The 23,903-nt window shown below is 43.0% G+C and overlaps 1 long non-coding RNA gene across 1 annotated transcript in view, besides 1 other annotated feature; it reads left to right on the top strand.

Moving 5' to 3' along the window:
- The first annotated feature begins 596 nt into the window (after nt 1-596).
- The window catches only part of GARS1-DT (GARS1 divergent transcript), a 29,423-nt gene continuing 6,116 nt past the window's right edge, over nt 597-23,903 (top strand). The window contains exons 1-5 of the long non-coding RNA NR_038889.1: nt 597-727; nt 1,666-1,812; nt 9,387-9,543; nt 14,378-14,645; nt 16,248-16,910. This is a non-coding gene — a long non-coding RNA (GARS1 divergent transcript). The remainder of the gene's footprint in view (nt 728-1,665; nt 1,813-9,386; nt 9,544-14,377; nt 14,646-16,247; nt 16,911-23,903) is intronic.
- Nucleotides 13,748-13,797: an enhancer, noted in NCBI's record as "active region_25815". NCBI's record gives its function as "activates an Ori minimal core promoter by ATAC-STARR-seq in GM12878 lymphoblastoid cells {active_cell/tissue: GM12878}" and the evidence as "EXISTENCE:reporter gene assay evidence [ECO:0000049][PMID:35858748]".

Genomic DNA, 23,903 nt, shown 5'->3' with positions numbered 1-23,903 from the left:
AGGAAGATATGGCCTATCTAAATTGGTAGGAAGCTAGAAGCTGAGACCTTCATCCAGGGACAAGAGAAAAGCTCATATTAGGCCATTGCCTCTGGAGGGAAAACATACAAAGCAACACTGGTGCCCACCTAAGGTCAGAGATGTCTGACACTTTTAGACTGGACCTCAAAGGGGGATGCCTAGGGGATCCAACTCCAGACCTCAGCCTCTCCAAAGGGGATGCCCTAGGCAAAGGTTCTCAGGTCTAGTACTAAGGCCTCCTTAGAATTGTCTCTCTCTTGCAGACCACTACAGGAAACACTCCATTTATTCCACCTGACTTCCCACTTGGCTGCATCCTCAACCATTGAAATGAATTTGACCCTGATAATCTAAGGAGGAAACATTTGATATTCTTTTGCAATAATACTTGGCCCCAGTATTGTTTGGAATCTGGAGTTTGCTGTTGAATGGGAAAGCAGGATGACGTTGCATGTATCCAGGCTTTGGTGCTGCTGTCCTAAGAAGGGTCAGGCCTAGTCAGCATATGGTGCTCTCCTTTGGTGCTATTTGGCTCCAGTGTCTTTGGAGTCTGAGGAGGTTTGGCCTTTAAAAATCAAACTGCCACCGGAACTGCTTTAAAAATGTTTGGTTCACAGCCTTCACTGGATTACCTATTGGAGCAAACAAAGTGTAACCATGTAAAACCTGTGAGCTTGTATTGATATCTCATGGCTAGAGTTCCAAGGTAAAAGCTATTGGATCTTCGTTTGTGTGTGTGTATACATGTCTAGATGTGTTTATTTGTATGTACACTTATTGTTATATGTTGTGTCAACCAAATCAGCTTATAAATAAAAAAGCACTCATAAATTAAATAAATAAGTCCAAGCAATTTTCAAGTTCATGTGACTTAAGTAAATCTTCATTAAATAGCTGGCTTTAAAATTATTGGTAAAATGAAAATAGAAATATCTTCAGAATTGTCAGCATACATTTTTGTCTGGGTTTTATATTTGTCTTTGCTAGAAATGTTGAAGTGTCAGCATTTGGCATAGAAGATTATAAAGCTATTAACCCAGCCAAAACAAAATGGCCTTAGTTTATGTGGCTTCTTTGACAAATGAGACTAATTTAATATTGTTAGCTAAATCTTCTGGGTTATTGGCAAAAACACCTATGTATTTAACTGTGAGGTTCTTATTTAGGTGAACACATAATGTTCATTGGCTATTAAAAATGGTTAACAAATAAATAACTAACTTTAAATGATGGTGTCTAATATCTCAGTTTTCAGAAGTAATCTAGATAAACTGTTAAAAATGAAAGACTTAAGTACATGTAAATGGGATGAATGATTAGGTAAATTTTGTGTAATTTAAAATCTTAAAAGTATTTTTGATGCCCATTGGATATCTCAGTCATTTCCAATTAAGAAAGGGTTATGATAGGGAGGAATATGTTTCCAAAAATTGTGGAATTATTCTCATCTATAAAATGCTAATATCTGATAGTTTAGGATTTTTTGCTTCCTAAGGTTTCACTAAAATTTAAGGTTACTAAGATGATATGGTTTGGCTTTGCATCCCCACCCAAATCTCTTCTTATAACTCCCATAATTACCGTGTGTTGTGGGGAGGGATCCAGTGGGTGAGAGATGATTGAATTATGCTGTTCTCATGATAGCGAATGGGTCTCATGAGATCTGATGGTTTTGAAAATGGGAGTTGCCCTGCACAAGCTCTCCTTTTGCCTGCTGCCATCCACATAAGATGTGATTTGCTCTTCCTTGCCTTCCACCATGATTGTGAGGCCTTCCCAGCATGTGGAAATGTAAGTCCAATAAACCTCTTTCTTTTGTAAATTGCCCAGTCTTAAGTATGTCTTTATCAGCAGCATGAAAACAGACTAATACATAAGGATATGAATTATAGTTAATATATAATTCTGTATACAAAATATGCCAAAAAATGTGTTATTGGTGAGAAAGAATTATTTTGTGTAGTTTGGAGGTTATCTGAAAGTTAATTCAAATTATGGACTTTAAAAAAAAGAGTTATTTATGAAACAAGGTAGTAAGGAACCAGTAAGTAGGGGAGAGATGTGAAGAAAGTTATATATATGAAGATATGTTTTTGTGAGGGAAGATTGTAGAGATGGTGGCTTTGTAGGAGAAAAGATCTTGTACGATAAATTCTTGTCCTAACGTAAAATGACTGGTTGTTTAAAAAGAAAGATGTTTAGGAAAACTCAGAAAGTCCAAGCATTTTGTAGATGGTCTGGGTAAGTTATGAAAAGAATTCATGTAAGAAAAGGATAATGTACCTTTGGTAAAAAGCATGGGAATGTGGATTTCTTGCCTAAGTTTAGAGGGTGAAAGGATGGTTTTAAGTGAGATAGGAATAATCTAAAAGGTTTGAACAAGTTGTGGAAGGCTTATGAAAAATTAATTGTAAAAGAGATTCTGTGTGTGAACATATTGGCTAAAGTTAAAGGGGAAGACTGGCAATTAGACTTCACCCATATGCCAGTGTGCAAAGTATACAAGTTTTTGGTAGTAGTAATAGATACTTTTACTGGCTGGGTTGAAGCTTGCTCTATGAGAACAAAGAAGGCTCATGAAGTTGCTAAGCTTCTTTTAAAGGAAATAAATCCCCTAGTTTGGGTTACCCCAAAGCCTCTAAAGTGATAAAGACCCATCTTTTAGAACTCAAGGGGCTGCTAAGGCTCTCAGAATCAAAAATTATTTACATGGGAAAGTAGAAAGGGCTAATCAAGCTCTTAAAATGGGTGTTAGCTAAGCTATGTTAGAAAACATCAGAAATTTGGGTCAGCTTATTGCCTGTAGCCCTCTTAAGAACCCTTAATTCTCCTAGAGCAAAAATTAATATGAGCTCATATGAAATGTTATACAGAAGGCCATTTTTTTTTGAGATGGAGTTTTGCTCTTGTCACCCAGGCTGGAGTGCAATGGCACAGTCTTGGCTCACTGCAACCTCTGCCTCCCTGGTTCAAGCAATTCTCCTGCCTCAGCCTCCTGAGTAGCTGGGATTACAGGCATGTGCCACCATGCCTGACTAGTTTTTGTATTTTTAGTAGAGACAGGGTTTCATCATGTTGGCCAGGCTGGTCTTGACCTCCTGACCTCAGGTGATTCGCCTGCCTCAACCTCCCAAAATGCTGGGATTACAGGCATGAACCACCGCTCCTGGCTGGCCATTTTTAAATAATGATCTAATTACTGATCCAGAAACAGCCAGTTTAGTAACATGCGTAATTAACCTGGGACAATTTCAGCAGGCTTTACAAAAGTTTAGAACTCAAAGACTCCCCACACCAGGAACTAACCAGCAACCCAAAATCAGGCCAGGAGATAAAGTACTTGTTAAAACATGGAAGGAGGGATCACCTGCTGAACAATTACAACCCAAATGGAAGGGACTATTTTCAGTGGTACTGGCCATGCCTTCTCCAGTCAAAGTACTGGGAATAGTTAGTTGGATATGTCTTTCCAGGGTCCAGCCTGCAATAACTGAAGCCCCCAGACCTGGAACCTGAAGATCCCATCAGCCACTAAACCTGTGAACCTGTAGAAGACCTGAAGTACCTGTTTAAAAGGCAGCCAAAAGATAAGTAAATTCCTATCAACTTTCCTTGGTGTCCTTCTTGTATATTTACTGTAAGCTGGATATAATAGTAGCCATTTTTATATTTTTACAATTTAATTGCTTTCTTCCAAATGGATTGAATCACTTCTTTTAAAGTGTTTTAATTAATTTTTATCTATAGAACAAAATAACAAATAAGTATTTTTTTTTTATACCATAATGGTCACCCACAGCCTGTGTATACTAAGACCATGCATACTGATAATCAGCTTTATTTTACAAAAGAGTTTCGCTTTACCCCTCTGGTAATTAATGGATTCTGGGTATTTATTAAAAACTTTAACACAAAGACTGTTAAATACCACCAGTCCAGCTTTGGCAAGGCACTGTTGGCTTTGTTTATCTCCATCATCATCCAAACAGACTACCAATCCTGATCCCAGCCCAATCTTGGGCCCTTGAAAAAATAACTTAACATCCTAACTACAAGGGAGAAACTCCTTTCAAATTAATGAACCTGGCTGACTTATATAGCCTTAAAATTATGGAAATGACAAGGGTTACAATGTCAGAATGAGCAGTAAACCTTCCCCAGTCCTATCAGAGCAAACTTTCTGGGGTTGCATCCCCTCAGAAACCCATTTGGGGCCCAATCTCAATGCACATATCAGTGCGCAAAGCACTAAAATTCCAGGCAACACTTTGTATTGAGAGAAGCCAAAATTTTGGTCCCGCCCTGGGACATCTAAAGTCACCAATGTAACTACACCATACAGATTAAACCCTCACATGATCATGTAAGCTATGCAGTTACCCAAGCTGCATCATTTAGAAAACCTGTACAGTTTTTATGGAAACCATCCCTAGTCAAGGACACTTTAAATATATAGTCTAAATACCGTTAAGGTAGGCCCACTAGCTGTGTTCACATTTTCCCTTGGCCACCTTACCAGGGACTTTAATAACTTGGGAAAGTGAAAACAACAAGCTAACCCACATGTTCACCATAGAAAACAATTTTGTCTTGAAAAACAAGGACTCTTTTTCCCGTGTGGGACCAGTTCCTACTTATGTTTTACCAGCCAATTGGACTGGAACCTATACAGTTGTTTATTTAGCCCCCGAAATTAATATAGCTCCCAACAACCAATCCTTCATTATACTTTTAACTGCAACCACCAGACACAAATGAGCCATCCAACTGATACCACTTTCGGTAGAGCTAGGAATAACAGCAGGAGTAGGAATGAGAGTTAGCAGCCTTGCAGTTTCCCTATCCTATTACCAATGCTTGTCCAAGGATTTTATGGAAAGCTTAGGTGACATTGCCCAAAAGTATCATCACCTTACAAAATCAGATAGAGTCTTTGGCAGTGGTGGCTTTGTAAAATAGAAGGGGACTGGATCTCCTAAATGCTGAAGAAGGTGGCTTATGTCTTTTTCCTAGAGGAAGAATGCTGTTTTTATGTCAACCAAACAGGATTAGTAAGGGATGCCACCCAAAAACTAGCCGATTGGTACCATAAGATATGACAACAGCTGTCTGAGTCATGGGGCGCCTAGTCAAAATGCTAATTTGGGGCTCACATCTCCTTCCTCTGGCCAGTCCACTATTAATTATTATACTTGCCTTGGCTTTTGGATCATGTTTGTTAAATCTTTTAACCAGATTTATTTCTTCTTGCCTAGAGACCATTATGATAATGCAGCAGGGCCACCAGTCAGTTTCAGATAATGATGTCAACCCCGGCCACCAAGAAGTAACCTTGTCTCCACTAGACAGAGCAGGGTGAGAGTTCTGTAATCCCCAGTAGGTAGGGACTGTGCCCCAAGTCAGCATGAAGTAGTTATGGAAGAAAGACCATGGGTCCCTCTGCCTCCCAGAAAGATTTATGGGGATCACATCTCTCAGGGGAAAATGAGGCAGGAGAATAGGGTCTGGAGACAGGGAACCTAAAGCTGATTTGTGCTGAGTTTCTAGGATTGAATGAAAAGGAAAACCCCACCTCTCCACACCCAAGTAACAAAAGGATCAGAGGCTACTCCCTTTGCACTGCATTGCAGATAAAAAATGGAAAGTACCTCAGATTGGTCCCCTCCCACAACCAATCAGACTGGCCATGGGCTACTCCTTCGTTTACATAGGGTGTAACCAAGTAACCAATGGGAAACCTCTAGCGGGTATGTAAACCCCAGAAAATTCTGTAACCAGTGCTCTTGAGCTGCTTGCTGGAGCCTACTCCCACTTTGTGAAGTGTACTTTCATTTCAATAAATTTGTGCTTTCATTGCTTCATTCCTTCGTTGCTTTGTGTGTTTTGTCCAATTCTTTGTTCAAAACACCAAGAACCTGGATGACTCATAGTCAAGATCCTCTACCAGTAACACTTGAACTTTCTGGTTTGTCCTGAACATCCCTCTTTCTTAAACAACCAGTCGTTTTATTCTAGGCCAAAATTTTACCATACAAGAATATTTCTCATATACAATTATCTTCCTTCTAACTTTTCTTGCCAGAAATACCTTTTATAACTTTCTTTACATTGCTTTTATTTAACGATTACTTTTACCTTGTTTCATAAGTTTTAAATAGCCTTGAATTAGATAAAAAATTATTTTCCTTTAAATAAGAACACATTTCTTTTTTTAGAAAAATATTTTTCTGTAATTTTTTTTTTTTCTTGAGACAGAGTCTTGCTCTGTCACCCAGGCTGGAGTGCAGTGGCACAATCTTGGCTCACTGCAAGTTCTGCCTCCCGGGTTCACGCCATCCTCCTGCCTCAGCCTCCAGGGTAGCTGGGACTAGAGGTGCACACCACCACGCCTGGCTAATTTTTTGTATTTTTAGTAGAGACGGGGTTTCACTGTGTTAGCCAGGATGATCTCGATCTCCTGACTATGATCTGTCTGCCTCAGCCTCCCAAAGTGCTGGGATTACAGGTGTGAGCCACTGCACCTGGCCTAATATTTTAAATTGGAAATGACCCAGATGTTTAATGAGTACCTATTATTTAACTTAATATAATTTTAGATTCTAAATTATATAACAAGTTTAATCACAAGCATTTATTCCATTACATTTACCTAATTAATTTTTTTAATAGTTTACTCAGATTACTTTTGAAAACTGAGAGTTATCATTGAAAGTTATTTCCCAGTTAATCATTTTTATAGACTGCGAATTTCAGGTTTTCCTAAGTAAGAAACTTAAGGTTAGATAAATGGTTTCTTTTTTTTTTTTTTTGCCAATAACTTAGGATTTAGCTGTTTTCATTAACTAAACAATATTAAATGCCTTATTTATGAAATTTTACATAGAGATAATTTTCCTTTGGGCTGCATTCATTGTTTTATAACCCTCATGCCAAATTTTGGCATCTAGCAGAGATAAATATGAAACCACTGTTCCAATAAATTTAAACAATAGTGTATGTTGACAATTCTGAAGCCATTCTAATTCTAATTTTATTTCATGACTACTTTCAAAACCAGCTTATTTATTAAAGATATACTTAAGTCACATGAACTTGAAAAGACATTTGGCTTAAAATCTCTATTTTCTCTGATACAGTATTTGATTTAAAGCCCCTTTTTTTCTTTAAGCCAATTAATTAGAGCACTTTTACATGTTTCTAGTAGTGAAACATCATATACATGACACATAAATACATAGATGTATTATACATGCAGATAGAAGTAGAGCTTATCATTTCACAAGACCTCTTTTTTTCCTCCAGTTCTAGACTTCTAATTTCTTGATCTTATTACCCTAGGCAGTTGTCAGCTAAGATAACCCTAAATTTGCATATTAAAGGAACTCTTAGATGAAAAAAATCAGATAGTGAAATTTACATCTCAAGGTACAGAGAGAAAGAGTCTGGTGCTAGTGTTTCCAGAATTTATTCCTTCTGGTGGGTTCTTGGTCTCTCTGACTTCAAGAAAGAAGCCTCGGACCTTGCAGTGAGTGTTACAGCTCTTAAAGGTGGCGTGTCCAGGGTTGTTTGTTCCTTCTGGTGGGTTTGTGGTCTCACTTCAGGAATGAAGCTGCAGACCCTCATGGTGAGTGTTACAGCAATTAAAGGTAGTGTGGACCCAAAGAGTGAGCAGCAGCAAGATTTATTATGAAGAGCGAAAGAACAAAGCTTCCACAGCATGGAAAGGGACCTGAGCGGGTTGATGCTGCTGGCTGTGGTGACCAGCTTTTATTCCCTTATTCGTCCCCACCCACGTCCTGGTGATTGGTCCATTTTACAGAGCACTGATTGGTCCATTTCACAGAGTGCTGATTGGTGCATTTTACAGAGTGCTGATTGGCGCATTTACAATCCTTTAGCTAGACACAGAGTGCTGATTGGTGCATTTTTACAGAGTGCTGATTGGTGCATTTACAATCCTTTAGCCACAGAGTGCTGATTGGTGCATTTACAATCCTTTAGCTAGACACAGAGCACTGATTGGTGCATTGTTATAGAGTGCTGCTTGGTGCATTTACAATCCTTTAGCTAGACACAGAGCACTGATTGGTGCATTGTTATAGAGTGCTGCTTGGTGCATTTACAATCCTTTAGCTAGACACAGAGCGCTGATTGGTGCGTTTTTACAGAGTGCTGATTGGTATATTTACAATCCTTTAGCTAGACACAGAGCACTGATTGGTGTGTTTATAATCCTCTAGCTAGACAGAAAAGTTCCCCAAGTCCCCACTCGACCCAGGAAGTCCAGCTGGTTTCACCTCTCACTAGTAGGAGGAGATTAAAAACGAATGCCAAATCAAACATAAAATTATAGAAATCTATCATAGGATTATATTAGAAGACTGACTTTATTTATATAAGTAGTTCTAAATTTAGTCTGCCTTTTAACTGGATCTCTGAGCTCTGGGCAGAGCCCACACTGAATTCCGGGTCTCCAAAAAGAGAATTATTATGAGGCTAAGACCATGTGATGGTTTTATGAGTGCACTCTCCTTTTTTTTTTTTTTTTAACAAAAATGTTTCTCTAAGTGTCTGAACTACTCTCTTCCTAACTTTAAACACCCAACAGTAACCTCTGTTGTTACTCTTTGACTAAAATAATTATTTTAGTTAAAAAAAAAAAAAAAAGAAGAAAGAAAGAAACCAGGTAACACTATACAAAAGGAAGCAGTGTAAGATCTGAGACGAAATTTTCTCTTTTACACTCTTTGAGTTCCATAAGGAGAAACAGAGGTTGCTCCCCAAAAGGGAGTCTAGTGCCTTCTCTGTTTTCTTTAAGGAATCCCAGGGTGTTAGAAACTATTTTAGATTCCTCATGCAGCACAGGGTAGCAAGAGAAAGAAGAGGCAGCAGAAGTAAAATGAAGAAAACAGAATTTGGTTGACGGAGAAGAAAAAAACTTTTGCTCAAAAAGTTGAAGGAGAGAAATAAAAAAGGCCTTAACTACACACACACACACACACACACACACACACCTTGGATGTTAGCTTTTATTTAAGCTTTTAGCCACTAAGCTCCTTAAAAAAAATACCTTCAAATCTCATTACTGTATTTTAGCTAGTACAAACTGCTGATATTTCAAAAGTAATGCAAATACCAAACCAGAAAGGGCTTGATTTAGGAACCAAACTTAGGCAGTCATGATGAAAATAAGGACAGAATCTTAGTTTCCAAACTGCAGTGCTGGGGGACAACCATTGCTCTTTCAGTTTGGCCTGGTTAGCAAAAGATGGCCTTGTTATGTAAATAAAGCCCCTAAGGTAGTCAAAATCAAAAAAAATTTTTTTTTCCTTTTGCTAGCTGTTTTTTTCTTTTTTCTTTTTCAGTTGCAGGAATTTAGCCAATTCAGAGGTCTTGTTCTCCATAATTTGGAATTTTCCTTCGGATTTGATCAAGTTGGATAGAGTTGGTCAAACCCAATGGGAAAAAGATGAAAACAACAAGAAACAGAAACAAACAGCAACAACAACAACAACAAAAACAGTTAAGTGAAACAAACAAACAATCACACAATTTATGTGGTCACTGAGTGCTCTAATAGTAAGGAGAAATTAAGACCAGCTGGCTGTTAGTCTTAACTCTAGCCAAGACAAAACTCCAATTCAGCTACTTACCTAGTAATGAGTCTCAGGCTGAAGTCTGCTCTCTCCCATCCTAGAAGCAGGAAAAAACTGAAACTCATCTTCCCTGCTGGAAACGAGCTCAAACTCCAGAAAGGAGTTACCTGCCTTCCATCATCATGGACGCAGGAAAATTTGCCTTCCTTGTTGGAAGCAAGTAAAACTCCAAAAAAGGAGTTGCACAGCAAAATAAACTTCAGATCTCAACAAATTTGGGGAGATCAGGGATTCTCTGGGGGTGGGGTGGCTCCCAGGCCTCAGCCAATTGTCCTATTGGTTTCAGCCATAAAGACAGCTCAGGCTGCTACCACGCACTGATAGGAGATTTGTCAAAGATCGAGGCATCTTCACTCAGAATCCCTCTGTGATTACCAATTGTGAACACAAAATATCTGATATGGGTCTCAGTCAATTTAGAAAGTTTATTTTGCCAAGGTTAAGGACACATCCATGACATAGCCTCAGGAGGTTCTGTTGACGTGTGCAAGGTGGTTGGGGCACAGCTTGGTTTTACACATTTTAGGGAGACATGAGATATCAATCAATATATGTTAAGACATATATCAGGTGGTCCAAAAAGGTGGGATGACTGGAAACAGGGAGGGGGCTTCCAGGTGATAGGTAGATAAGAGAAAAACAGTTGCATTCTTTTGAGTTTCTAATAAGCCTTTCACTGAATACACAATTTACAGGACTAATCACTTAAGCCTTAGCCTGGCTCAGTGAAACAACAGGGCAAAGGAAGCAATCAGCTATGCATTTGTCTCACGTGAGCAGAGGGATGACTTTGAGTTCTGTCTAGCTATCTTGTTTAGGAATATAATGAGAGGCAGGTTTGCGTGCAGTTTCCAGATTGACTTTTCCCTTTGGCTTAGTGACTTTGAGGTCCCAAGATTTATTTTCCTTTAACATTTACAAGGAGAAGTGAAGAAATAAGTAAATTAGAGAGCTAGAAGGATGGAAGTTTACAGTTAGAGAGAGTGGGATGTTGAAGGTAATACTGGTTGCATATTTCTTATCCAAAATGCTTGGGACCAGAAGTGTTTCAGATTTCAGATGTTTTCAGATTTTGGAATATTTGCATTATACAGGTTCAGCACCCCTAATCTGAAAACGTGAAATCCAAAATTCTCCAATGATTGTTTCCTTTGAGCATCACAATGGTGCTCAAAAGGTTTTGGATTTTAGAGCATTTCAAATTTCAGATTTTCAGATTAGGGATAATAAACCTATATCTCAGAAACGGTACATTTCTGAATAATGACAAATTGTCATTATTTGCCATGAGAATTGTCATTAATGTGGGTGGAGATGGGGATGATTGTAGGTCAAGAGACTGAAGCAATAGGGTAGGCTTGGGTGTTAGTACGGCCCTTCATGGGAATGTGTTGATGTCATCCAGGGTCACGGGAGGCTTCTGAGTGGGAAGGAAGCTGAGAGCCTATGATTACGGTCTTCACTGATGAAGGCAGACAGTAGGAGGTTGGCAGATGGTGGGCACTGACTAGACTGGAAGTGCCAAGAACTTCAGTGGAGCAAGGTTTTACCCAAGACACAGAGGTTGTGGTCTAGAGCAGCCCAGGGATGAAGGATCACCCATTGGAGAGGACTGTGGGGAAAGCAGAGTCCTGGGAGATGAACCAAGCATCAGTTGAGGCTGGAACAGTTAAAATGTATACATCAAATTCTCTCCAAGGACACTGTACCCTTGGCTGAAAATTCCCTCCTTAGTCTACTTCCCATCCCAAATTCTACCCATCCACACTGTGGCATCCTAGGTCTCTCTAGCAGCTGAACAGGCAGGCCTCTGTAACAACTGTTTCAGCGCTGACTGAGTGGTTAAGTTAAATATTAAAAGTTGAAAGAGCCAGTAACCTTATACAAAGGCTGGAATAGAACAAAAGCCCACCACAAGTTTTTGCCTAAGTCTTTCCTGTGCCTTGAACCATGACAAGAGGAGGAAGGAATTCTTAACCAGACCCATTTAGGATTAAGTAAGTTTTTATTGGCTGGGTACGGTGGCTCACACCTATAATCTCAGCACTTTGGGAGGCTGAGGCAGGCAGATCACCTGAGGTCAGGAGTTTGAGACCAGCCTCCTGGCCAACATGGTGAAACTCTGTCTCTACTAAAAGTACCAAAATGAGCCAAGCATGGTGGCGGGAGCCTGTAGTCCCAACTACTCAGGAGGCTGGGGCAGGAGAATCGCTTGAACCCAGAAAGCGGAGGTTGCAGTGACCTGGGATCACACCACTGCACTTCAGCCTGGGCAACAGAGTGAGACTCCATCTCAAAAAAAAAAAAAAAGAAAAGAAAAGTTTTTACTGGGGGTCTGAAGACACAAGTTTTATTGGAGGTCTAAATGAACTCCTCAAACCTCCGTGATTTAGCAGGAGATGTGATAAGGGTAATCACCCCAGCACTTGGACCCATCTAGATTCAATACATTTACTGAGGCTCCAGAAGAAGGTCTTCACACCTTAGTTATGGATTAGAAGAAGTTAATCACTTACGTCTTTAGATGAATGCACACTTACATGTAGACATATGGCTTAGAAGGTATATAAACCCTGGAAAGCTTTGTAATTTTGAGTTAGTCTGGTGATATATTCCAGGCCTTCTCCCTGTACCCGGTTACAAAAATAAACTTCCTTCCTTCCCAGTTCAACTGCATCTTGTTATTGGGCCGCGAGAATCAGCAGCCTGACCCTCGGCTTGGACCAGGAACAACATGGTCTGAGAGAGCTCATCCCATGTTCCAAAGGGAGATTAAATGACAAATTAAGATACCCCAATAATAAAATGCCAACAATAAGATGCCCTACAGTGTAATAGAAACAATGTACCATTATGAAATTCCCAGTAGGAAATGAAAGCTCAAAGACTAAATTCACTTGCCATTTCAAGATAAAAAGAAAATTTCAGGTCCAAACTTTTTTCCTGCCTCAATTTCATATTCTGATCAGGCTCAGCCAGAGGATGTCTCAGTATTTAGACAGAGTGGAGGTTCCTGCGGCACCATCCTGGAGAGGTGTAACATTCTTTGGGTGGAAAAGGTGAACTCTGCTCTCATATGCTATCTACTTAAAGAGTCTGGAATTAATAGGGCACCAAAGATGATCACAGCTCTGTCTCCACATCCACCAAATTTAGAAACCAAATCTGATAACTAAGTCATTTATCAGAGACTCAGTGGTACCCAAGTGAGGAAGGGCCACTGGAGACAATCTTGTTTTTTTCACCGGGGCTGGAGTGCAGTGGCGCGATCTCGGCTCACTGCAAGCCCCGCCTCCCGGGTTCACGCCATTCTCCTGCCTCAGCCTCCCGAGTAGCCCGGACTATAGGGGCCTGCCACCATGTCCAGCTAATTTTTTGTATTTTTAGTAGAGACGAGGTTTCACCGTGTTAGCCAGGATGGTCTCGATTTCCTGACTTCATGATCCACCTGCCTCGGCCTCCCAAAGTGCTGGGATTACAGGCTTTAGCTACGGCGCCCGGCCATTCCCCTCCCTTTTCTGCTAGGCTCACTGAACTATTAACGAGCAAAAAGTAAACTTCCCTTTTCTTTGAGTTATTATACATTTGGGGTCTATTTGTTAGAGCAATGCGCTTGCCCTACTATACTCTCCCTGGGCCTTGTATGATGAAATTGGTAACAGCCACAAAAACTGCATCTGGGACACAGAAGGTGGTAGAGGGGAAAATAATCTGACTGACAAAGATTCTGTTTATAGGTGACTTTTTAGGATTGTGGAGTTAGGCAAAGCTGGGATCACTCACACAGCCTGATAGGGGATTTTCCTACGTGGGTGGGCTGACCTGGTGGTCCTGGTTACACTGCCCACCAGCCTTCTGGTGTCTCTACTAGGAGTAAGGTGCCTTCTCTTTCTCCTCCAGGACCCCACACCTCCAGACCCTGCTGAGGGAGGGCCACCCATTTCTAGTCCCAGCTCCTACTCTAACTATCTGTGTGACCTTAAACAAGGCCTTTCCCCTCTCTGGCCTCAGTATCCGCCTCTGAATAATGGGGCTGGGCCTGCCGACCTTCTGGCCCTTTTCTGCTCTGTGAGTTTGTGAACTTGTGATAGGGAGACAGGAGTCCTAGGAAGGAAATGGAACTGGTGATAGGGAGACAAGAGTCCTAGGAAGGAAATGGAACTTGTGATAGGGAGACAAGAGTCCTAGGAAATGGAAGGAGAGCACGTTTCACTCTGTCCAGCAGAGGGCAGCAGCTACCCACAAATCAACAGCTGAGCAAGGCCAGGGCTGTGTGGGAGCTATGCACAGGTTCTGCCTCCAGAAGCCTTCAGTGCCTGCCTCTGAGCCAGAGGGTTCCAAGCAGAAGAGGTCCCGCCCCCGGAGAGGGACCTCAGAGAGGTCCTCCAAGCCCCTCTCAGCTCTTACTTACGGCATCCCAGATGCCCTATTCCTCTTCTGCAGAGAGAAGGTGGTTCAGCCACTAAATGGTGCTGGGACCTCGCAGTTTGGTGGGAAGGAGGAAGCTTACTCAAGCAAGGAATATGAGACAGGCAAAAACCCACGCATAAGCCAAAAGCCCCTCCAAAGCGAGGTGTTGTTCCAGGCTGACAAGTGTCCAGCAGGGTGGACTTCAGACTCCCTGTTAGGAACTGAATTGTGTCCCCCAAAAAGAGAAAGTCACCCCAGGGTATGACCTAATTCAGGAAAGGTCATTGCAGATGCATTTAATTAAATGAAGATGAGCTCATGCTGGAGTAGGGTGGACTCTGAACCCAGTGGGACAAGCGTCCTTATTAAGAAGAGGGAAATCTGGACACACACAGAGCAGAGACCGCCGTGTGAAGATGGAGGCAGAGATCGGAGAGATGCTGCCACACGCCACAAATGCCTGGGGCTCCCAGAAACTACACGGAGCCTCCCCCAGCGGCTTCAGCAGGAGCATGGCTCGGCCAACACTTTGATCTTGGTCTTCCAGCCTCCAGAACGGTGAGTCGGTGAGTTTCTGTGGTTTAGGCCCCCCAGTTGTGGTTGTTTCTTACGGCAGCCCCAAGAAACCAATACACTCCCCCGTCCACTTTCCACGGCAGAGTTTGGGCGTCACTGAATCCCACCTCCACAGCAGGTTTTGCTTGGACTGCACAGTATTTATTGATGCTGCTGTTGGTTTTAATTTCTAATGTGTGTGCCTGTAGCTGTACCACTCCTCCTGATGACTCACCTGGCTCCTGCGGGCATCTGAGATGTGGTTTCTGCTCCACACTTCCTGGGGGAGCAGAGGAACTCCTCAGCCTCCTCTCAAACTTCTCTCAGGTTGTGCTGTTCACTCCCTCCCCAGGCTTCCGGTCCACACGGACAGCTCTGACCCCGAGAAGATTCTTTGTCTTAGACAAACATCTGCCTCCCTGTAACTTCGGTTCACCGATACTTGCTCTGCACTCCAGGGCCATACAGAACCCCTCTGCTCCCTCTGCCCTTAGCCATTGGCTCCTAGGAGACACTAGCTTGTCCGGCCGTCGCTTTAAACTGTCTAGTTCCAACTCCCTCAGAACTTCCTCAGTGATGCAGTTTCCTGACGGTCATATTGCCTGGATAAGCTCCAGTATGTTCAACTCCCTCTGTGGTTCAGCAACCAGGACTAAACAGGATTCACCTGATGCACATTCTAACCAGAGTCAAGAGGGCAGAAGCATCGCCTCCTGCGTTCCAAGCTCAATATCTCAATTGTAATCCCCACATGTCAAGGGAGGGGCTTGGTGGGAGGTGATTGGATCATGGGGGTGGTTTGCCCCATGCTGTTCTCATAATAGTGAGGGGTTTCTCACGAGATCTGATGGTTTTATAAGGGGCTCTTTCCCCTTTGTGCACCCTCTCTCTTTCCTGCTTCCTTGTGAAGAAGGTACTTGCTTCTCTTTCTCCTGCCAAAGCATGACCTTATAATTGTAAGTTTCCGGAGGCCTCCCCAGCCATGCGGAACTGTGAGTCAATGAAACCTCTTTCTTTTATAAGTGACCCAGTCTTGGGTATTTCTTTATAGCAGTGTGAAAATGGACTAACACAGATATTTGGCAGGCATCCAGTAGTCTTCGATAAACACAACCACCATCTAGTGGCCAGAACAGCCTTATCGGACCCCACTGTCTGCAATGAAAAGCTGTTCCTTTCCTCATCCTTTACAGGGCCAAGCACCCAGCATCCTGGGACAGTGGCCCCGTGTGCCCAGCTTTGAGGATGAGCTCATGCCTGGTTGCTCTGGGTGGAGAGAGGGAAGAGTTGAATCAACATCCATATGTATAAATCTCCTTTTGTGCATTTAGAATCACGTCCTTAGAATAAATTGCGATCAGTGGCATTACTGAAGCAAATTGTATCAAAAATGCAAAAAAGACCCATTTTTCCAAATTGTTTTCTAACAAGGAAGTCATATTGTTTGCTTTTTGATACTGTTCTTTAGAAAACGATGCATGAGAGTTTTACATTTCATATAGTGTGTTCTATTTATTTTATACTTTGCAATTTCTGTAATTTTTAAGCACTGTTCTTCCCATACTAGAGGCTCTGCTCTAACTATTCAACTTTTGTTTGTCCTAGTTTTCCTAAAATTCCCTTTTCCACTGGTGTGTGGTGCAAGATGAGGCACATTTTCCATGGATGGTGAACAGAGGGAGGAGCCTTTTGATCACAACCAGGTCACCCCACTTCTAAGCCACTGTGCCTCCAGCCCCACAAGACTAAGGAGAGAGAGCGCAGCGTGGTGGAGAGTGAGCTGTGCTGGGACCATTGTTTCCGTAACCTCGTTTTCTGTGTCCAGCTGACACACCTTCAAAGTGGCATCAGGTCCTAAACTGTAGCTTGCAATGTGCCTGTTTCCAGAAACCAAGGTGAAAGTGCTTTTAGACAGTGTTCCCATGCAAGAGTCCCTTCCCAGCTTTTTTCTGGAAATGCATGTTTCTCTGAACTCTGAGTCCCAAGAAAAATCACTTGAGACACCAAGAAAATGGGGGAAGTGCTAAAATTGTGTGGGAATTCAAGCTTAACAATAAACATCAAGACATTTTTGATAAAAATGAATCCACTGACATCGGGGAGGAGCAAGAGAACAGCACGCTGACACTGGGTCAGAGGCTAAGACCGACATTTCTGGGAACCACTCCCGGAAGGGCACAGAGGAGACGCTTTCAGCCTCTCATCAGCCAGCCTGGCCTGTAGCTGCTGCACGTTATGAGTGTGTTCCTGGCATGACTGCTTCTAACAGTGAGTTTTCTGGCAAATCAAATAAATACTAATAAGTCTGTATGCACATTATACTTTATACAAATCCTATGAGTGATGTTCCAGAAATAACAAGTTTTGAAGGCAAAATAAGTCCTTAAATTGGCAACTTTGACACATAATTCCATGTAGTAGTTAATCTTGCTAGAAGATCCCAATGTTGTTATTCTAATACAATCTGATAATGTTCACTGGCATTTTCCACTGTTGGCATCTTTACTATAGCCTACAGTTGTTTGTTTGTTTATTTGAGATGGAGTCTTGCTCTGTTGCCTAGGCTAGAGTGCAGTGGCGTGATCTTGGCTCACTGCAACCTCCCCCTCCCAGGTTCAAGCAGTTCTCCTGCCTCGGCCTCCCTAGAAGCTGGGATTACAGGCACGTGCTACCACGCCCAGCTAATTTTTGTATTTTTGGTAGAGACGTGGTTTCATCATATTGGCCAGGCTGGTCTTGAACTCCTGACCTCAGGTGATCAGCCTGTCTCGGCCTCCCACACACAGTGCTGGGGTTACAGGTGTGAGCCACGATTCCTGGCTGCCTACAGTTCTTTGTAAAGCAGACAAAATAGTTTCATTTTTTAAAGAAATGAACATATATGAGGCAACCTGTACCTAACTTAGGAGTTCAGAAATTCCCTGGACTGCCTATACATTTTGGTTTCTCATTCCTAATTCCCAAAGATTAAAATCTGTCAGGAATTTGGAAACATTGAATCACAGGCCAAAATAGGACCATGTCTCCATTCATTCATTCATTCAACAATTATTTATTGAGCGCATGCTATTTTTCAGGCACTGTGCCACATATTGAGAATAGAGTAGTGAGTAAGACAAAGTCATCACTTTAGGGAGTTTATATTTTAGAGGAGAGAAAGACAAATGAAAGTGTTTAGGCTGGGCATGGTGGCTCACACCTGTAATCCCAGCACTTTGGGAGGTCAAGGCAGGTGGATCACCTGAGCTCAGGAGTTCAAGACCAGCCTGGGCAACAATCCCATCTCTAACAAAAACATAAAAAATTAACCAGGTGTGGTAGCACATGCCTGTGGTCTCAGCAACTTGGGAGGCTGAGGTGGAAGGATCTCTTGAGCCTGGGAGGCAGAGGTTGCAGTGAGCTGAGGTTGTGACACTGGACTTCAACCTGAGTGACAGATCCCATCTCAAAAACAACCCTGGGCCGGGTGTGGTGGCTCACACCTGTAATCCCAGCACTTTGGGAGGCCGAGGCAGGAAGATCTTGAGGTCAGGAGATTGAGACCATCCTGGCTAACATGGTGAAACCCCGTCTCTACTAAAAATACAAAAAATTAGCTGGGCATGGTGGCGGTTGCCTATAGTCCCAACTACTCGGGAGGCTGAGGCTGGAGAATTGCTTGAACCCGGGAGGCAGAAGTAGCAGTGAGCCGAGATTGCACCGCTGCACTCCAGCCTGGGCAACAGAGTGAGACTCCATCTCAAAAGAAAAAAAAAAAAAAAACTCAGAACTATTTAATACAATGTACTGGCAAGCGGTGATGAGCACTATGGAAACGTGAAGCAATGTTTGAGTGCAGCGAGTGAAGCGGTGCTGTTTTGTTTGTGATTGTCATGAGGACCCCTCAGAAGAGCAGAGAGCTGAATGCAGTGAGCATAGAACCTTACTGAGGCCTGGGCAAGGCTCTTCCAGACAGCAAACTGCCCTGAGGCAGGACTGTGTTTGGCGTGTCCTGGAAACAGGAAAGAAGCCAGGGCCTCTGGAATGTGGTGAAGGAGAGGGAAAAGTAGTAAATGAGGCTGGAGAGAGAGGCAGGGGCCAGAACATACAGGGCTGTGTAAGTCACATTGAGTTCTTTAGATTTTCCTGTAAGTGTGGATGGGAAGCAGTTGGAGGGTTTTGAGGAGGGGTGGTGTGATCTGACCCGCATTTTAGAATCATCCCGTTGGCTGAAGTGTGGAGGAAAAAAGCAGGGGGCAGAAGTAGAGGTGAGGGGCAGCCAGTTAGGAGGCTACAGGAGTAGCCCAGACCAGACAGGAGGGTGGCTCGGCCCTCAGAGATCTTGGTGGGGCAGATTAGAGAGTGATCAAGTTAGAGCTAACAGGACTTTTTTTTTTAGACTGGGTCTCGCTTGTTGCCCAGGCTGTAGTGCACTGGTGCAATCATGGCTCACTGCAGCCTTGACCTCCTGGATCAAGGTATCCTCCCACCTCTCAGCCTCCCAAGCAGCTGGGACTATGGGTGCATGCCACCACACCCAGCTAATTTTTGTATTTATGGAGATATGGGTCTCACCATGTTACCCAGGCTGGTCTTGAACTTCTGGGCTCAAGCCTTCTGCCTGCCCTGGCCTTCCAAAGCATTGGAATTACAGGCCTGAGCCACTGTGCTAGGCCAGAGCCAACAGGACTTACTGAGAAATTATCTGAGAGAGAGGGGTCAAGGAAGACTCCCCCTGTTCAACCAAGCAACGAGGTGAATGGTGCTGCTGCTTCCTGAGATGGGGAAGACTGTAGAGGAAACAAACCAGGAACGACAAATCAGTAATTTAGCTTTGAATACATTAGGTTTGAGATGGCTAGTCTGTACCCAAACAGACCACACTGTGGCATCTGGGCAGCAGGATCTGCAGAATCCAGCAGGATGGATGCTGATGCCAAGCTGAGTAGACAGTTGGGTCTGTGAGTCTAAAGCTCAGGGAAGACCTCAGGGTCTGGGATACAAATCTGGAGATCATCACCCTGTCCATGAAAGCCAAGGGAATGATGGAAGATACTATGAGAAAAAGTGAAGAGAGGAAAGAGAAGAGGTCCATGGAAGGAGACCTGGGAGAATCCAACCTTCGATTAGATCAGGAAGAGGAGAAGAATCCAGTAAAAAACTCTGAGAAGTCTCTGGGAAGGAAGTCTTCCTTCCTTCCCCTGTACCAGGAGAGGTGCTATCCCAGAAATTAGTAAAGAAACAGTTTTTGATGGGGAGAACAGGATCACCTTTGTCAACTGCTGCTGCGAGACTTGGAAAAATAAGGACTGGGAAGAGAGCAATAGAAACTTTGAAAGCCATTGGTTATCTTGATAAGAGTTGTTTCTGTGGGGGTGGTGAGAACTGGAGCCTGACTGGATGGGTTCAAGAGAGAATGGGGAGTTCTAGCCAAGAAGGCTGATGAGGATGAGTCAAATTAAAAATGTTTTCTTTTTATGAGTCCTCTCATATTTACTGATACAACTGATATATTGGGTCTCCATTCTGCCACATTACTTTATATTGATCATGTATTGTATCTGCTATGCAATTGTATTGCATGTATCTGCATGGCAATTGTATTGCCATGCAATGTATTTTTTTTTACTTTAAAAATTATATTTATAAAGGTTTGTAATTTTATTCCAGTGGTTATTTTATATGTACACTTTTTAAAATGCTCTTAATTTTTTTTTTAAGACAGGGTCTTGCTCTTTGCCCAGGCTGGAGTATAATGGCATGATCCTGGCTCATCAAAGCCTTGGCCTCCTGGGCTCAGTAAGTCCTCCCACCTCAGCCACCTGAGTAGCTGGGACTACAGTCATGTGCCACCACAACAAGCTAATTTTTTTGTATTTTTTGTAGAAATGGTGTCTCCCTGTGTTGCCCAGGATGGTCTCAGTCAGGCGATCCAGCGCACAAGCAATCCTCTCACCTCAGCCTCCCTTGGCTCTTACTCTTATTTTCTTGTTTAAGCTTTTACTATCTGGTTTATAAATACTGCAGTATTCTTCATCTCCCATCCATTGCTCATACAACAATCTAGGGGCATATTCCGTTTTTCTCTATTTCCCTTGTCCCATTTTTGAGTTGCACTATTTCCTTATCATCTCTTATCAGCTGAAGCTCATTCTCTAGTATACCGTCAGAAAACTTTTTATTTTTTGCAAGGGGCCAGATAGTAAATATGTTCAGTTTTGCAGGCATGCAATCTCTGCCACAGCTCTACCATTGTAGAGTATAAGCAGCCATAGACAATATGTAAACAAATGGGTATGGCTGTCTTCCAATAAAACTTTATTTGCAAAAACAGGTGGTGGGCCAGATTTGGCCTATAGGCTAAAGCCCTGTCTTAGAGTAGCAGCAGATAAGGAGACAGAAAAACTGTACAGGAGGTGAGAGAAAACTGGCAGGAGAGCTAGGGGGATATTGACAAAAGAGGAGCCCTTTAAATCTTCCAGGGGTAGAAAAAATGAAATTCTTTGATGTTACTCAATAGTTTACCTGCTCGGAAGGAGGAAAAGTGTCTCTTCCATCTCAGAGTTGGCTCAGCATCCATCCTGCTGGATTCTGCAGATCCTGCTGGCCAGATGCCACAGTGTGGTCAGCTGAAAGTGATTTGCTCATCCTGAAAACAGCAGGTATAGAAAGCGCTCTTTCAGCGCCATGGCAACCAGATCGTGTTTTTCTAAAAAAGGATCAGATCAGCGGGTGTGTCCCTCCAGGCATTGATCCATTAATATGCACTGAGCTCATTTCAGAGCCAGGCCCTGGGCTGAGTGCTTGGAATACAAAGATGCAAAAGGCTAAGTCCTTGTTTTTAAGGAGCTCATAGACTGGAGGAGGAGGCAGACATTTACAGTAAACAGTGTAATCACACGTCATCAAAGGAAGGGACACACAAAGGGCTGGGTGGGGAGCATCTCCTCCTCTTTGGGAGAAACTGACCTGGAGACCTAAGGTTGAGCTGAATTTTGGAGAATCAGTCAGAGTTGGTCAAGAGGACAAACTGGGATGGGTCAAGGAAAATGGAGAAGCTTGAGAGCTGTGGCAGCTCCGTGAAATGGCAAGTATGGCCAGAGGATGGCATCTCCAGGGTGCCGGAGATGGCCATGGAGAGGCACCGAGGCCAGGCCATGCCGGGCCTCTGCTGCCTCTGCTGTCACCAAGGTCAACCACAACCTAGTGCCCAAGCCAGTGGCATTTTCCAGCCTACTTTTACTCATCCCTTCTTTTAGAAAATGCTGCCTTGACAGTCTGATTTTCATGGTATCATGATCCGCTATCTCCTGATGTGTCCTCTGTACATCCAGCTGCTCTTTCTCACTCTCTTATTTGTGCTCTCACTTCCTTAAATTTTAACCTTCTTCTCGTGCTGCACTTTCTCCAGGTATATGAGAAACCTCTCCATTTTTCACTTTCATCTGTATTGCTCTTTGCCTGTTGGCCTCAATTTCTCCCACCACAAGATGAGCCCCTAAACGTATCTAAGAATGTGGCCTCAAGAACCCCAGTGTGGCAATCCCAGTGAAAAGCCTTTTCCCAGTACTCATCTTTCCATCCTGGGGAAGGCATGGGATTGCTTTTGGTTGGTTGTGTACCTACCCTGGCACACAGCACTATTATCAGAGTGATGGGCCAATACAATATATGGTGAGGGAAATGAGGTTCCATGATTGGCCCCATCAGTCACAAGGATGGAAAGGCAGTTTCCTAAGACAGATGTATCAGGCAGGAGAGAGGAGCTATACAATGTCAACAGGGAAAGTGTAATATAAATAATCATGAACTAATAATAGAGGGTTAGCCACTAAGGGATAAAAAGAAGTCTAAAGGTTACAGAAACAGGTGAATGGATAAACAAAATGAAATGTTATTCTGCCATAAAATGGAATGAAATTCTGATACATGCTACCCCATGGATAAACCTTGAAGACATTATGCAAAATGAAATAAGCCAGACTCAAAAGGGCAAATATTATATGGTGCCACTTATACAATGTACCATGAATAGTCAATCCATAAAGACAGAAAGCGGAATGGAGGTTTTCAGGAGCTGGAGGAAGGGGAGAATGGGAAGTTATTGTTTAATGGGTGATACGGTTTGGCTCTGGGTCCCCACCCAAATCTCATCTCAAATTGTAATCCCATGTCAAGGGAGGGACCTGGTGGGAGATGATTGGATCATGGAGGTGATTCTTGTGATAGTGAGTGAGTTCTCATGAGATTCGATGGTTTAAAAGTATGTGGCTCCCTTCTGTCTCTCTTTTTCTCTCTCTCCTGCCACTTTGTGAAGAGATCTGCCTTGCTTACCTTCACCTTCCACCATGAGAGTGTTTCCCAAGGCTTCCCCAGGCACACAGAATTGTGAATCAATCAAACCTCTTTTCTTCATAAATTACCCAGTCTCAGGTAGTATCTTTATAGCAGCGTGAGAACAGACTATTACAATGGGTATAGAGTTTCACCTTGGACTGATAGAAAAGTTTTGGAAATAGATAGTGGTGATGGCTGCAAAACATTGTGAATGTATCTAATGTCACTGAATTGTACACTTAAAAGTGGTTAAAATGATAAATGTTATGTATGTTTTACCACAAAAAAAAAAAAAATACAGGCCAGCCTGGCCAACATGGTGAAACCCTGTCTCTACTAAAAATACAAAAATGAGCTGGGTGTGGTGGCACATGCCTGTGATCCCAGCTACTCTGGAGGCTGAGGCAGGAAAATCGCTTGAACCTGAGAGGTGGAGGTTGGAGTGAGCCGAGATCGTGCCACTGCACCCCAGCCTGGGCAATAGAGTGAGATTCCATCTCAAAAACAACAAACAAACAAACAAACAAAGAAAAAACAGGAATCGTGGATATAGGGGCAGGCACTAGGTCTAGGGCTGAAGCAGAGAACCCAAGGAAGGAACCAACTTGGAAAAAGGTCTCCGCAGGAATGAGACTCAGATGCCATTGGAGATGGTGTGGCTAGAGCCCGCAGGATGGCAGAGAAGTTTGTTGTAGTGCTTGAGGCCGGGCTGGCATGCAAGAAACCCATGCACCGGTGGGGGCAGCAGGGTGGGGGCTGACAACACTCACTGAGAAGCTGCCCTCTGAGGTGCAGGCATTCACTAGGACTTCACCCGTGGTATGTTACTGAAACTCCGGGGAGCCAACTGCTGGAGCATTTATGAGACACACTATGCCACCATCCGGGGCTTCAGCAGCGTTTGGTGAAAACCTGCCTGTGGGGTTGCTGTTGAATTTGCTGGAG

The sequence above is a fragment of the Homo sapiens genome, chromosome 7 (genome assembly GCF_000001405.40).
Source record: "Homo sapiens chromosome 7, GRCh38.p14 Primary Assembly".
Lineage (NCBI taxonomy): Eukaryota > Metazoa > Chordata > Mammalia > Primates > Hominidae > Homo > Homo sapiens.
The sequence above is the reverse complement of the archived record's forward strand: the minus strand, read 5'-3'. Positions and strand labels throughout refer to the sequence as shown.